Raw genomic sequence first — 13,744 nt, 5'->3', positions numbered from 1 at the left:
TATTTGGCTCTAAACAGTGGTTTATTGGCAAAGGACAGTCTGCCTTAGAGAGCCACATGTGTGCAGGTGTCATGCGTTCAGTCCATGCTCCAAAGCCCCACAGACCAAGGGGCCTTAACTTCATTTGTGTCAAGACCCCTCGGCCCCCGAGGGGTACAAGCCCAGGACCCCTTCTCAGAACACTATGCCCAAGTGCGTGCAGTCACATACAAAGGTAACCAGCTGTCCTTAAGTACAGTCGTCTTGAGCCTTTTTAAATTATGATTGATATGTGGTTCATGGTCCACATATTAATGAATGAAGGCATGGCAGGTCTGAAGGGTCGTGGGCATCACGCTGGAGTGTCTGAGGCATCTGGCATGCGGATGGAAGCACCTGCTGGCCCTGTTGGTGATGAGTGCCCCTTACTGCCATTTCTGCAGTTTGCTGCCAATATTTGTGGTGAAAGGAAATGGTAAATTTCAGGTAGAGGGTGGTGAAAACAAAGATGATGTTTTCTCCCTCATTCAAGGTCATGGACCCTGTGAATTTGGTTTATGACCCCAGTGGTTAAGAGCCCTTGCTAGTGGTCGACACTGTCCACACACTCAGGGGAAGTTGCCCTCAGAGTGACATGGGACCATTTATAATTTAGAAGCTGCCAATGATGGGCCACTGTTGCATTTTGGTTTGCCTAAATGTGATCTTTAGAAAATTTTGAATTAGTTTTGAGTGCTTAAAACTTGGGAGATTAAAATCCACATTGTTAGCTTCTTTTTAAAAAATCAGAACCAGGCTTACTTCTCCCAGGCGAGGGATTGGAATGGGGCCTGGACACTCCCTGGGTGCCACCTCTCTCTGCGCCAGTGCCCCAGCAGCCTCATCCTTGTTCAGAGGCACTTGACCTTGGCGTTCTGAGCTCGAGAGTGGAGGCCAGTGCTGTCAGTCGTTCCCAGCTCTCCCTCCTCTTGGCCTAAGGGCATGGCCCGGGAGGCCACACATGCCCCAGGGAGGAGGGGATGAGCTGGCCTGCAGCAGGTGCTATGGGAGCTTCCAGGCCTGTCTGCAGAGGCTCCTTGGGATGGCGTCTGAGCACAGGTCTCAGTCTCATTCCTCTTCGAAAGCGTGCCCCCGGCAGGTGTGGTTGGGAGCAGGTGCTTTGTGGTTGGAAGATCTCACTTGGGGTTTGCTTGTTGGTGATTGAAACAAATGCATCACCAGGAGCGTCTGTGAAGCCCCTTCCTGCCAGCAGGGAGGGCCCATGCCATGCACAGCCTGCTCGGTCCTCGAGAGGCAGGTGGGGGCCAAGGTGCATGCTGCTGCCTCTCCCACAGCTGCTTCCTGAGAGCTCGTCCCCCCAGTGCGGCAGATGTGTCCAACGATGAAAAGCACGCCAAGGCTGGGAGGACATACCAGCAGGCGTGCTCGGCTCGGCCCTCCCTGCTGGGGGCTCTCACCTGCTGCGTGCACTGCACCTGTCCCAGGAACACCTGCCTTGGCCAGATCTGCTCCCCTTGTGGGAGTCTGTCCTCCACATCTGAGTATGCAGAAAGCTTGTGCTACAGACAGGGGTTCAGAATTCTGCCAGAAAGTTCCTAGGTAGCCCTTGAGTGGACTGGCAGGGAGCCGCCTGCTGGTGGGGAGGTGAGCGGGCCCCCTTGGGGATCTGTGCACTGTTGGTGGGATAGAAAGGTGGTCCTGGGGCAGACGTTGGGAACAGAACAGTACGGATGTGCAGGTGTTACCTGTGGGGAGTGTATTCTGACCCGGGTTGATTTGATTAGATGACTGCATTGTAAAAGTACACAGAGCTGGGGACCTTTTAATCTTCCTTTTTAGCCATCAGTTCGGGGGTCTCTGCGTTTAAATGTAGGACGGTGGCGGGTGTTCCAGTGCCCTGGCCCAGCCTCCCTCTAGCGCTGCTATGCCTGACTCCCCCACACTTCAGTTTCCTCATGGAAAGTGTGTGTGCCCACATCGACCTCGTGAGGCTGAAGTGCTGGGGGCACGGGGAGAGCAGATGCCCACACTCCAGGCACTGCAGGGGTGCATGCCAGCTGGCCCTGTTCCCCGCCAGACCCAGTGACAGACAGCACCTTGTCAGTAGCCAATGTGTTGACGTTGAGCTGTGTCCCGAGGGTTTGATCTCAACCTGGAAATGTTTTGGGAGCAGGTTCCCGGCTTGCCTGCAATTGCCCGCACCTCTGTCTGTTTTAAACCTGGAGGGCAGGCGGGGCTGCGGCACCCACAAGAAGTGCGAATGCTGGGGCCTGGCTCCTCAGGGATTCCGATTCCAGCGTGGGAGGGGAGATGTCCACTGTGTCCTAAAAATATCGTGAGCACCGCAGGGTGCTGTGTGATTCTGGGCAGATAAGGGCAGGTGTGGTTTACAACTGCTGTTATGAACTCAGAAGCCCTCCCCGCAGCACTTCCTGGGCAGGGCAGCACAGGGCAGCTGGGAGCACCCAGGGGGTGTAAAGGAGGAGGGTGAAGGGACATGGGCACACTTTGCTTCCGGAGTCTGCATTCCCGAGTCAGCTTCTATCTCAGCAAGGGCCTTGGCAGTCGCTGCTTTTTTCTGGACATCAGTTCTTGATTCCTTCCATCTCCAGCCATGGCTGGGGCCAGGACTCCTTTGGAGTTGGTGCTTGAAGGCAGGGAGGGCTGTGTGAATGCCTGAGGCCCGTTCTTCCTGAACATTCTTGGATTCTGTTTCCCATCTAGTCTGGGCACCCAACAGCTTGTTTTCTCGAGGGGCTGCCTGCTTTGGGGATGGTGCCCATGGGTGGCACATTCTCCATCAACTATGTTTAAGCATTTCATCCTGTGTGTGTTGCCCTAAAAATAAACATCCCTGTGGGACGTTCCCTTGCAGTGTGGCTGGTGGCTATGTTCTGAGATGAGAGATAACCACTCTTTCTGTCCCTCTCTTCCCACCAGGGCGGGAGCAGTTCCACGGCCTGGGCTCCATGTACTGCCGGGGGGCGGCCGCCATCATCCTCACCTATGATGTGAATCACCGGCAGAGCCTGGTGGAGCTGGAGGACCGGTTCCTGGGCCTGACAGACACAGCCAGCAAAGACTGCCTCTTTGCCATCGTGGGGAACAAAGTGGACCTCACTGAGGAGGGGGCCTTGGCGGGCCAGGAGAAGGAAGAGTGCAGTCCCAATATGGACGCTGGGGACCGTGTCTCCCCAAGGGCACCTAAGCAGGTGCAGCTGGAGGATGCGGTGGCCCTTTATAAAAAGATCCTCAAGTACAAGATGCTGGATGAGCAGGATGTGCCGGCCGCTGAGCAAATGTGCTTTGAGACCAGCGCCAAGACCGGCTACAATGTGGACCTCCTGTTTGAGACCCTCTTTGACCTGGTGGTGCCAATGATCTTACAGCAGAGAGCTGAGAGGCCGTCACACACAGTGGATATATCCAGTCATAAGCCACCCAAGAGGACCAGATCTGGGTGTTGTGCCTGACTTTCGAGGGCCTCCTGGACTCAGACTGTGCATGTTGGGAAGGGGTCTGACCAGGCAAGCTGTGATCTGAAAGGAGCAAGGAACAGCAAGGAATTATTTTCCAGAATGACACCCGCAGCAGAATGTTGGAGTGGAAATGATGGCTGGCTATGAAGAGGAGGTCAACGTGTGTGGTCTCCTCAGTCTCTGTCAGAGGGGTGGGGAGGTGGGAAACAGGAATCCTCTGCAAAGCCCAATCTGCAGAGTCGAGACCCCTGGTGCTCTCTGCCCCGCTGCCTGGCACTGGTCCTTTGCAGCCAGCCACCAACGGCCCCCTTGCCCTTGCAGAGGCAGAAGCCTGCGTCTGCACCTGCACCTCTGACCGTTTCAGCACCCTGGGTTGTTACCACGTCCTACAACTCTGACATTTCTTGTTCTCAAGCGTTTCTCTTCACTGTGAGTTGTCTTTGGTCCTCCCACTTGGTACTTGTATCTTGATGCTTTATAATCCTGACTCTCGACGTGTTCATTTATACAAAATCAGGAATAACTTTGTTTTTATACTGATTGCAGCAATGTTGGCTACATGTATTATTAAAGAGGATTTTTGGAACAACTTAGGTATTGAGACTGAACTGACTTCATTTGCACCCCCAGTCCCAGGGACTCTCTGTGGGGTAGGGTGGGGGGCGCTGGGGAGATGGCTGTGAACTTGAGATACGTCTCTCTTTGTGCGGAAGCTCTGTGAAATCCTTACCAATTGCAGAATATTTAGATTGGCCCATCTGTCTAGTTTTCTTGATGACTTGAATTCCAATAATAGTAGCAAAGCTTAAAGCTCTGGTTCTGCTGAAGTCTGGGGCATCTGAGCACCCAGGTCTCTGAGTCAGAAACCCCCTTCGGGTCTGCTGCTGCTGGCCGTGGGGTGGCTGCTTTATTGGAAGATGTCAGACAGAGGTGCCAGGAGACAGCAGATTTGTTTTCCCAGAAATGTGACTGAACGAAAGCAGGCTGGGGTCGGGGCTGTTTGTTGGGAGGCAATGTGGGGCAGATGGCACTGGGCAGTGGGTTTCATAAGTGCTGTTTTCTTTCTTTTTTTTTTTTTTTTTTGTGATAGGGTCTTGCTCTGTCACCAGGTTGGAGTGCAGTGGCGTGATCTTAGCTCACTGCAGACTGTACCTCCGGGTTCAAGCAATCCTCCCGACTCAGCCTCCCAACATGCTGGGATTACAGGCATGTGCCACCATGCCCCAATAATTTTTTTTTTTTTGGTAGAGTTGGGGTTTTGCCATGTTGCCCAGGCTGGTCTCAAACCCTTGAACTCAAGCAATCCTCCCTACTCAGCCTCCCAACATGCTGGGATTACAGGGTGCTCTGTTTTCTGGGGAGCTGTTCATAATTTGCTGAAGGCCTGTGCTCTCCGGTTTCTGGGCTGCTGCAGGCCTAACTTCTCCGCTCCTGTGGAGTGAGTGCTTTCAGGCAAGGAAGGGAGCTTGAACCCCAGGAGGAAGCACTGAGGCAACCCCTGCGATTGCAGGTCCTCAGCTCCCCTGAGATGTGGTTTCGGAGTTTAAAACTTCAGTTTCGCAACAGCAGCCCATTGAGAAGTGAACGCAAATCAGCCTGACTCGTGACTTTTTATTGACTTGGTTGAATATACCACTGTAGGGACAGAAGTTATATTTATTTTCTATAATGTGTATCTTTGCTAGTGACCCATCTAGGAAATAGGCTAATCAAAGAGACCTTGGAATCTTTTTTTTTTTTTTTTTTGAGACAGAGTCTCACTCTGTTGCCCAGGCTGGAGTGCAGTAGCACAATCTCAGCTCACTCACTGCAGCCTCGAACTCCTGAACACAAGTGATCCACCCACCTCAGTCACCCGAGTAGCTGGGACTACAGGGGTGTGTCAGTATGCCTAGCTAATTTTTTATTTTTATTTTTTGTAGAGATGAGGTCTTGCTGTGTTTCCCAGGCTGGTCTGGAACTCCTGGGCTCACGCAATCCTCCTGCCTCAGCCTCCCAAAGTGCGGGGATCATAAGCATGAGCTCTGGCCCTGGCCAGAGTCTTTCTTTGAAGGCTGTGAAGGGAGAGAAAGTATCATATGGCACTGTTTTTGCAGTTGGTGCTTGAAGGCAGGGAGGGCTGTATGAATGCCTGAGGCCCGTTCTTCCTGAACAGTCTTGGATTCGATTTCCCATCTGCTCCGGGCACCCAACAGCTTGTTTCCTCGAGTGGCCGCGTGCTCCGGGGATGGTGCCCATGGGTGGCACATTCTCCATCAACTCTGTTTAAGCATTTCATCCTATATGTGTTGTCCTAAAAATAAGCATCCCTGTGGGCTCCTTTTAAATGAGTTCCTCTGGGCAGTCGGCGCTGCAGTCTCTCCTATGCTAGCAACTTCCAGCTGCCCTTACAAGTGCTTTTGTAAGGGCATGAGGGGCTCATTAATTCAGCACATCTCACTGAGCACTCTCCACGGCCCTTCCTGGAGCTGAGCTATTGGGACAGTTTCAATGACAGTGCCGCCACAGGCCCCCTGGCACCCTGTGTCCTGGGCTGCATTCCAAGTGGACCTTGGATACCAGCCTGGCTCCTCGCTGGGGAGCCTGGTCTTGGGTCCTACTCCCCCACCCTCATCTCATGTGGCCTCTGTTTCCTTCCAGAAACCACGTCAGTTCTTGGAAAGCTTGAAATCCCTCGGTTGGGCAACTCAGCTGTTGGCGCAGATTTCCCCACTGGGTGTGGGTTTGAGCTCGTGACCTCGAGCATCCGTCTTTCCTTTGTACAAAGCGGCCACTCCAGGGAGGAGATGAGCAAGTGACGGTCCAGGGTTCATGGCTGTGTGTGGTCTTGGAGCTCCCTTCTGCACTTTCCAGCTGTCCATGTCCCCATGCAGATGAGAACCCTTTCCTCAATGACACCTCATAACCAGGTATTTCCTAGTGCCCTTAAAGCCTCGTGCCTGGCAGTGGTGTCAGGGAGTCCTGGGGTTGGGTATGTGGTAATCTGGGTGCTGTCAGTCAGAATGTCCCCTTCCCCAGGCTCCCAGGCCTAGTTTCTTAAAGAGTATGACGTTGCCATTTCTGGACCCAACTTCCTGGTTTAAACAGCCCTGCTGTGCCAGGAAAACAACCTCACATGAATGTTCCCAGCACATAGATCACCCCAGCACACGGGTGCCCCCCAGTACATGGGCCCCCCCCAGCACATGGATACCCCCAGCACACGGGCTCCCCCACCAGCACACGGATCTCCCCAGCACACGGGTTCCCTCCCCAGCACACGGGTTCCGCCAGCACATGGGTCCCCCCAGCACCCAGGTTCTCCCCAGCACACGGGTTCCCTCCCCAGCACACGGGTTCTCTCCCCAGCACGTGGATTCCCCCAGTACATGGATACCACCAGCACATGGATCCCCCCAGCACATAGGTCCCCCCAGCACACAGGTTCTCCCCAGCACACGGGTTCCCTCCCCGGCACACGGCTTCCCTCCCCAGCACACGGATCTCCCCAGCACACGGGTCTCCCCAGTACATGGATCCCCCCAGCACGTAGGTCCCTCCAGCACACAGGTCCCTCCAGCACACGGCTCCCCCCCAGCACACGGATCCCCCCAGCACACGGATACCACCAGCACACGGGTTCCCCCTCCCCCAGCACACAGATCTCCCTAGTATACGGGTCCCTCCAGCACACGGGTCCCCCTAGCACACGGATCCCCATAGCACACGGGTGCTCCCAGCACATGGATCCCTCCGGCAGAGGTGAGCTGCTGCTCAAGGCCCATGAGACAGACCCCATGAGACATGGAGATGGTGCCTGTCTTCCAGAGAGAAGGGGCAATGGCTCTGAGCTCGGCCTTCACTCCGTGCTCCTGGGAGACTCTAACCAGGCTGAGTCCCTCCTGAGCAATGACCACAAACCTCTGAAGAAGGAAGAAGAGTGGGACCCGGGCCCCAGAGACCCTGGTGGGAGTGCCGTGGTGTGGCCTCCAGGTGTTTGGAGGATTTCAAAGGCACAGATCCTCCCAGCCCTGGTTGGTGGAGTCCAGGTCGTATCTTCCCTTCTGTGGCCAGGCAGAGTGGCCGGTGCCCTCGTCCTCTTACATGCCCTTATTAGAAGCACAGACTCTTCTCCACAGTGTGCAGGGGTCTTCCATCCTCCCACTTCACAGAGCTGGATCTTTCGAGCCTCATTGTCGAAACAGGACAGAGAGGATGGGTGTGGTGGGTGGACGCACAGCTGAGACCCTGCTCACACAGCTGAGACCCTGCACACACGCACAGCTGAGACCTTGCTCACACAGCTGAGACCCTGCATGCACGCACAGCTGAGACCCTGCACGTGCGCACAGCCGAGACCCTGCATGCATAGCCAAGACCCTGCACGCACAGCAGAGACCCTGCACGCACAGCAGAGACCCTGCACACATGCACAGCTGAGACCCTGCTCACACAGCTGAGACCCTGCATACACAGTCGAGACCCTGCACACACGCACAGCTGAGACCCTGCTCACACAGCTGAGACCCTGCATGCACGCACAGCTGAGACCCTGCACGCACGCACAGCCGAGACCCTGCACGTGTGCACAGCCGAGACCCTGCATGCATAGCCAAGACCCTGCACGCACAGCAGAGACCCTGCACATACATGTGCCGCCTGCACTCAGCCTCCTCTGTGCCTGCTCTGGAAGCTCTTGGGCCCAGTCCTCCCTTGTGGTCCAGGCTGCCTCCTTCAGGGAGAGCTGACGCCTTCAGAGCAAGCGTCCTTGCGTGGTTATGAAGCTCTGTGTCCCTCCCCTTCACTTTGTGTTTGCCTTGAAGCCACTGGCCCAGCCCTCAGGTATCGGATCTGGAGGGCACCTTGCTGGAGGATATGTGGACCCAAGGCCCGAGAAGGTGCCTCCTGGGTCAGGGTGTCAGTGGCCGGAGTGAGACACGCCCAGGCCTTGGCTCCCAGCCCCACCCACTTCCTCACCAGGCCCTCCCAGCTCAGTCTACGTTGGCTGTTTTCTTGGGATGTCATTGTGGAAGGTCCTGCCTGGGGCATGGCGGCTTGGGAATCTGAGCCTCGGACTTTCAATGCCACGTTCCAGTTGCTGCCATGTGTTTCCTCCCCTAAAGGTGGGCTTGGTTGTTCGGGCTGCAAATGGTGGATACCCACGGATCCAGGACAAGCCTCAGCCCCTTTTTTTATCCTCCATCCAGATTTTCCCACCGGGAGAAGGCATGGGGGCCTGGAATGCTGTCTCTTGGGAGCTGGTCTCAGTTAAGTAACCAGGGTTGGCTCGTGCCTGCTCTTGGTCTGAAGGTGGCAGGCCTGGGACTGGCCACTGTCATCCCCAGTAGCACTTCCAAACCCCCTCCCTCAGCCTCACTGCGTGGCGACCTCATTCACCAGCCCCTGTGTGGCGGGCGGCTCCCATGGCCAGGGGCGAGCTCTCTCTGCTTTGAGGGAGGTGTGAGAGCCCCCTGGACAGAGTCCTCATAATCTGAATGCAAGAATTCCTTTCCCAGGAATCCTGCAGATAAAATGGATTATGTTTGTGAGTGTACAGTTAAGAATAAGCCAGCTCAAGGCAAAAGAATGGGTCCCACCCAGAGGAGAAGCGGGGTCCTGTCCCATGTGGGATGAAATGGCCTCTGCAGGAATGGCTCCAGCTTTAGGGCTGGTTTATGCCGTCACAGGACCCACATCTTCTAAGTGGCCTCCACCCCATCTGCCCTTTGTTCTTGTACTTTGGCCATAAATGCGAGGAGAAGGTCCCTGAGTCACCCTTGCATGTGGCAAGGTCCTCTCAAGTGTGAATCTGCAGGTGGGGTGGGGGAAGAGGGCTCCTGGGTGTATTTTAAACTCGGGAAGACAGCAGTCCCCTCCTGCCCCATCCCATGTGGCTTTGCAGCTGCAGCCTCTCATCTCTAAGTGTTCCTGGCCTCTGAGAAGAACCTAGTTAATTAAAATGGGCTTGTACAATGAAATTGTGAAATACCCCTCAGGTGCAGGGACTCTCGAGTATGTGGAAATGACCCCACCCTTTGAGGCTTCTGGACATGGCAGGTAATGTTATATGAAGTGCCTCGGGTGCCTGGCACATGGTTGATGCTCAGTGGTCACTGTTTTTAGGAAGTCAGCTCGGTTCCTGAAGGGAGTGTAGAGGTTTGGCTTGAATGCCCCCTGAGCACGTGGGTTGTGTTATCTTGGGCAAGTTGATTTGCCATCTTTGGGGAAAATCTCTTTATGAAATGGAGTATATTGTACCTACTTCACAGAGTAGTGGGAGGCAGGAAAAGCACCTGGGAGAGCACTTTGCAGAGGCTGGACCACAGGAGGAAGATGACCATCCTCTTCCACCTCCAACCCCAGCAAAGTAATGTCACCATGAAGCAGCCACTACAGAAAAATGGCCAGAAAGCAATGATTTTCCCTTTTTCTGTAATGCCAGAGAGACAGCCAGCTTCACTTTAAAGCACATTGCCTTGGGGCCAGGCGGGGTGGCTCATGCCTGTAATCCTAGCACTTTGGGAGGGGATCACTTGAGGTCAGGAGTTCAAGACCAGCCTGGCCAGCACGATGAAACCCCATCTTTGTTAAAAAATACAAAAAAATTTAGCCGGGTGTGCTGGTGCACACCTCTCCCAGCTACTCGGGAGGCTGAGGCAGGAGAATTGCTTGAACCCAGGAGGTGGAGGCTGCAGCGAGCCGAGATCCTGCCATTGCACTCCAGCCTCCAGCCTGGGCAACAGAGCCAGACTCCGTCTCAAAAAAAAAAAAAAAAAAAAAAAAGGCACATTGCCTTTGTGACATTTCGTTTTTCATCTCCCTTGGTTTTGGCAGAATTGTGAGAGGTGCCTGACGGGGAGGTGTAGGAGCAGGAAAGGTGCTTCTTTTCTGGGGAGGGTGTACGTGTGCCACACGTGCCACTGCACAGCTGCACACACACGTGCATCAACATCGGAGCTGTAGCCGCCCCACACAGCTGGGCACAGGCCGTGCAGGAGATGTGCCACCCATAAGTCACTCTCCCTCGGACACCGTTCAGCCTTGAGAACCTCGCTGAGTGCTGGGAACAGCAGTTTATCCTTAGAGAGGAAGGCTGAGGACTCAGAATGGACTCGTGGATATTTATTCTTTGGGTTGTTATCCAGTACTGTCTCACTTTCTTATTCAGATGGCTTCATCTTGGGAGCTCTTTCAGATGGCTCCCGTGTCCCTTCCACATGTCTCCATTTGGGGTTTTATTTGAGCACTTCCTTACTTTCTGGCACTACAAGATGTTCCAGTCTCATGGTCTATATTTCCTGCCCCCGTCTCGGAATCAGCCATCTCCCCGAGGAGCCTCGGGTCCTTTTATTGGAGAAGTGTTAGAATCCCAGATCTGGGGCCAGGTGTGCTCACTGCTCCTGCAGGGCTGCTTCTCTGAGGCCCTCTCAGCTGACAGAGTGAAGAAATACATGTGTCTGTACTAACCCCTACAGATATTTCTTTATGTGACTATAGGTGTCTATAATAGGTTAAACCCGAGTTCCTACTGATATCTCGGACTCTAACCATTGTGTCATTTCCCCACTTTGCTGTAAATTCTCCTTCAACAATGAGAAACATGGCTCCCACCATCGACCATCCGCTTAATTAATGGTTCTTTTTTTTTTTTTTTTTTTTTTTTTTGAGACAGAGTCTCGCTCTGTTGTGGGATTACAGGCGTGAGCCACCGCGCCCAACCAATGGTTCAGTTTTAGCATGAATATAGTGTCAGCACTGTTCACTGGTACTCCTGCAAGAAACAACTTTATCCACTAGAGTACAATGCTGTGTGCAGTTCTCTTTGCCTTTGTTCTTAGAGACGCCACTCATTTCCAAATTACTTATATTATTAATAGCACGTTTCCCCTACCGGCTTCAATGAGCTCCTGAAACTTCTGTGGTTTTTTCTTTTTAAATAAGTGGATGGCCCTTTTCCAGGAAGGCAGCCTCAAGGAAAAGCCACCTCCAGGTGTAACCAGAAGCACTGAGTATTTCTCAGGGGGAAGGACAGCCTTACATTTTATTGGCTGAGCTGAACTTATGCTGTATGAATACAAATAGCTCATAGATGTTTGTAGCTTGGTGCCTTCCTGAGTCTGCAGAGTGAGGCTCTTGCTGTACCACGTGTGGGAGGTGAGGATGCTGTTCCCTCGTTGCCTTCAAGACATCTGCTTGGGTTTGGTCTGTCACTTTAAGATCAGCTCAGTGTTACCCTTCCCTTCCTTGTCTAGCATGTCATGGAATTTACTTTCCAAATCATTCTCCTCCCTTCCCTGCACTGTGCATTTTAAATCACAGTCCTCAACCTCAACACATTTAGAACTCCCAGGTTGCAGCGATTCTCTACCTCCTTCCTCTTAGGTCCTGGACACGTACGAGTGCATACATACCTGCGGCTTTGGGCACGTTCACGTGTAGTGACTGATTTCATTCTCCTGATGTCACTCTGATGCACAGGTACTTTCATTCATTTTACCGGAGGCCCAGCCCACTGAAGCAACCCATCCAGGCCGTCCTTGCCAACGTGCTCTTCTTGGGTGGTTTAAAGGCTGATGTGCTCTCCAGGGCTTGTGAGTCTTCCTGGGCGCCCCTACCCAGTCAGGATGGCTGCAGACGCATCTTCATGCGCATTCCAGCAGCGTCTCTGCCAGGGGTGCTGAAAGTCACTGTCTGAAGCAGCTGGGAGATGGAAGTGATTCTGACTTTGGGGCACCCACCCTCTGGAAAATGTGGCACATCATTAGAGGGTGGTTCAAGCACACTCAGCTCTCAGGGAGCAGTTATTCCTGGCACCAAGAAACTAGCCTGGAAAAAATCTGTCTTTTGCAACATGCAGGATCCATGAAGGACAGAGCTCTGATTTTCAAGGTGCAGGATGTTCAGCGGTTCGATTCCAGATGAGGCATCTCCACTCACTATACTTCAGCGGGATCGTGGGCTCCCTGGCACAGATGTCAGGGTTATGAATTGTGATTGGTTTATATTTTATGATCCACATTTTGGAAACCAATTATTTGTTGAGGATCTTTGTCTTCTCATTTATTTTAGGTCTAGGGTGAAACATTTCTTTTATGTTTAACACTGGGCACTGACGCTGAGGTGTGATCCACACACAAGGTATCAAGCCTACCTCAAGTCGAGCAGGGGTCTTCAGGACTGCAGCACACTTTGCGGTTGCCTCCTTGGCAGTAGGGGTGGAGTCTAGAATGAATTGTTGCTTCCCAGCTTCTAGAGTTGCTGTGGTTGCGAGCTCTGGTCTCTTGATCCCCGTCTCACACGCTCTGGGCCCACTGTTTTGCTACAGCTATTGCTGTGGTGACTGGCCATGAGCAGGTGTGGCCTGACACACCGTGTCTCAGCTCTGCCTGGTTCTCTACCACCTCCACCTGGCATCTGGCAGGAGCCCACTCAGCCATGCTGGTGTGTGGTGCACCTGGGAGTGTGAGGGAATTAGCACCCTCAGGCAACCCCTGACCAGTCGAGACCGCAGCTGATGGAGAACACTTCCCTTTCCAAGCCATGGCTGGACCATCTGAGGATCCTTCCTTGGTGGATCCCCAGCAGGATCAAGCCTAAACAGCCCACAGTGGTAACCCCCTTAGTCCCATGTCCTTGAGTTGGCTTTTCTTCTTCCTGGTATCACCCCCTCCAGGTCCCACTCAGGCTTCCTGATATCGCCTTCCCATATAGCCGTGCTGTGTAGAGGTCGTGGCCTCAGCCAGCTTCTGGGGGAACACGCGCCAGGGCGGCTGCGTATCTATTTCAAATAACATTATAAGGTAGGATACTTATTTCATAATGTGAACCTTTTTCTTAGGAAAACTTCAATTTGAGATTGCATTTCAGAGGGTCAAAATAAACTGTGAGTTGAATCTCGGAGATTGTTTCTTTGAAATACTGAGCTTTGACTTGGGAAGTTATGTGGGATCTTTTTTTTTTTGTAGACATGGATCTCACTATATCGTCCAGGCTGGTCTCAAACTCCTAGGCTCAAGTGATCCTCCCACCTCAGCCTCCCAAAGTGTTGGGATTACAGATGTGAGACACTGCACCCAGCCTATGTTGGAACAAATTGAATGACTTACATTTGTGAAGTACCCTTTCTCCAAATTCCCACAAGTGCTGGTTCAGGTGTTTTCTTTTCTTTTTTTTTTTTTTTTTTTTAGATGGAGTTTCACTTTTGTTGCCCAGGCTGGAGTGCAGTGGCACGATCTCAGCTCACCGCAACCTCTGCCTCCCGGGTTCAAGTGATTCTCCTGCCTCAGCCTCCCGAGTAGCTGAGATTA

General features: G+C 53.2%; 1 protein-coding gene across 1 annotated transcript in view, besides 6 other annotated features; it reads left to right on the top strand.

Annotated features, from left to right (window-relative positions):
- Positions 1–4,051, top strand: part of RAB20 (RAB20, member RAS oncogene family) — a 38,657-nt gene extending 34,606 nt beyond the window's left edge. The window contains exon 2 of the mRNA NM_017817.3: positions 2,920–4,051. Coding sequence (NP_060287.1) covers positions 2,920–3,452 — 533 coding nt within the window. The 3' untranslated portion in view covers positions 3,453–4,051. The remainder of the gene's footprint in view (positions 1–2,919) is intronic.
- Positions 836–905: an enhancer, noted in NCBI's record as "active region_8003". NCBI's record gives its function as "activates an Ori minimal core promoter by ATAC-STARR-seq in GM12878 lymphoblastoid cells {active_cell/tissue: GM12878}" and the evidence as "EXISTENCE:reporter gene assay evidence [ECO:0000049][PMID:35858748]".
- Positions 1,356–1,405: an enhancer, noted in NCBI's record as "active region_8002". NCBI's record gives its function as "activates an Ori minimal core promoter by ATAC-STARR-seq in GM12878 lymphoblastoid cells {active_cell/tissue: GM12878}" and the evidence as "EXISTENCE:reporter gene assay evidence [ECO:0000049][PMID:35858748]".
- Positions 2,350–2,489: an enhancer, noted in NCBI's record as "active region_8001". NCBI's record gives its function as "activates an Ori minimal core promoter by ATAC-STARR-seq in GM12878 lymphoblastoid cells {active_cell/tissue: GM12878}" and the evidence as "EXISTENCE:reporter gene assay evidence [ECO:0000049][PMID:35858748]".
- Positions 5,182–5,261: an enhancer, noted in NCBI's record as "active region_8000". NCBI's record gives its function as "activates an Ori minimal core promoter by ATAC-STARR-seq in GM12878 lymphoblastoid cells {active_cell/tissue: GM12878}" and the evidence as "EXISTENCE:reporter gene assay evidence [ECO:0000049][PMID:35858748]".
- Positions 8,458–9,294: an enhancer, noted in NCBI's record as "H3K4me1 hESC enhancer chr13:111170170-111171006 (GRCh37/hg19 assembly coordinates)". NCBI's record gives its function as "activates a minimal SCP1, AML or CMV promoter by ChIP-STARR-seq in naive H9 embryonic stem cells {active_cell/tissue: H9 hESC(naive)}" and the evidence as "EXISTENCE:reporter gene assay evidence [ECO:0000049][PMID:30033119]".
- Positions 12,348–12,847: an enhancer, noted in NCBI's record as "H3K4me1 hESC enhancer chr13:111166617-111167116 (GRCh37/hg19 assembly coordinates)". NCBI's record gives its function as "activates a minimal SCP1, AML or CMV promoter by ChIP-STARR-seq in primed H9 embryonic stem cells {active_cell/tissue: H9 hESC(primed)}" and the evidence as "EXISTENCE:reporter gene assay evidence [ECO:0000049][PMID:30033119]".

This window comes from Homo sapiens, chromosome 13 (assembly GCF_000001405.40).
Source record: "Homo sapiens chromosome 13, GRCh38.p14 Primary Assembly".
NCBI classification, from domain to species: domain Eukaryota; kingdom Metazoa; phylum Chordata; class Mammalia; order Primates; family Hominidae; genus Homo; species Homo sapiens.
Note: the sequence above shows the minus strand (reverse complement) of the source record. Positions and strands in the feature narration are given on the sequence as shown.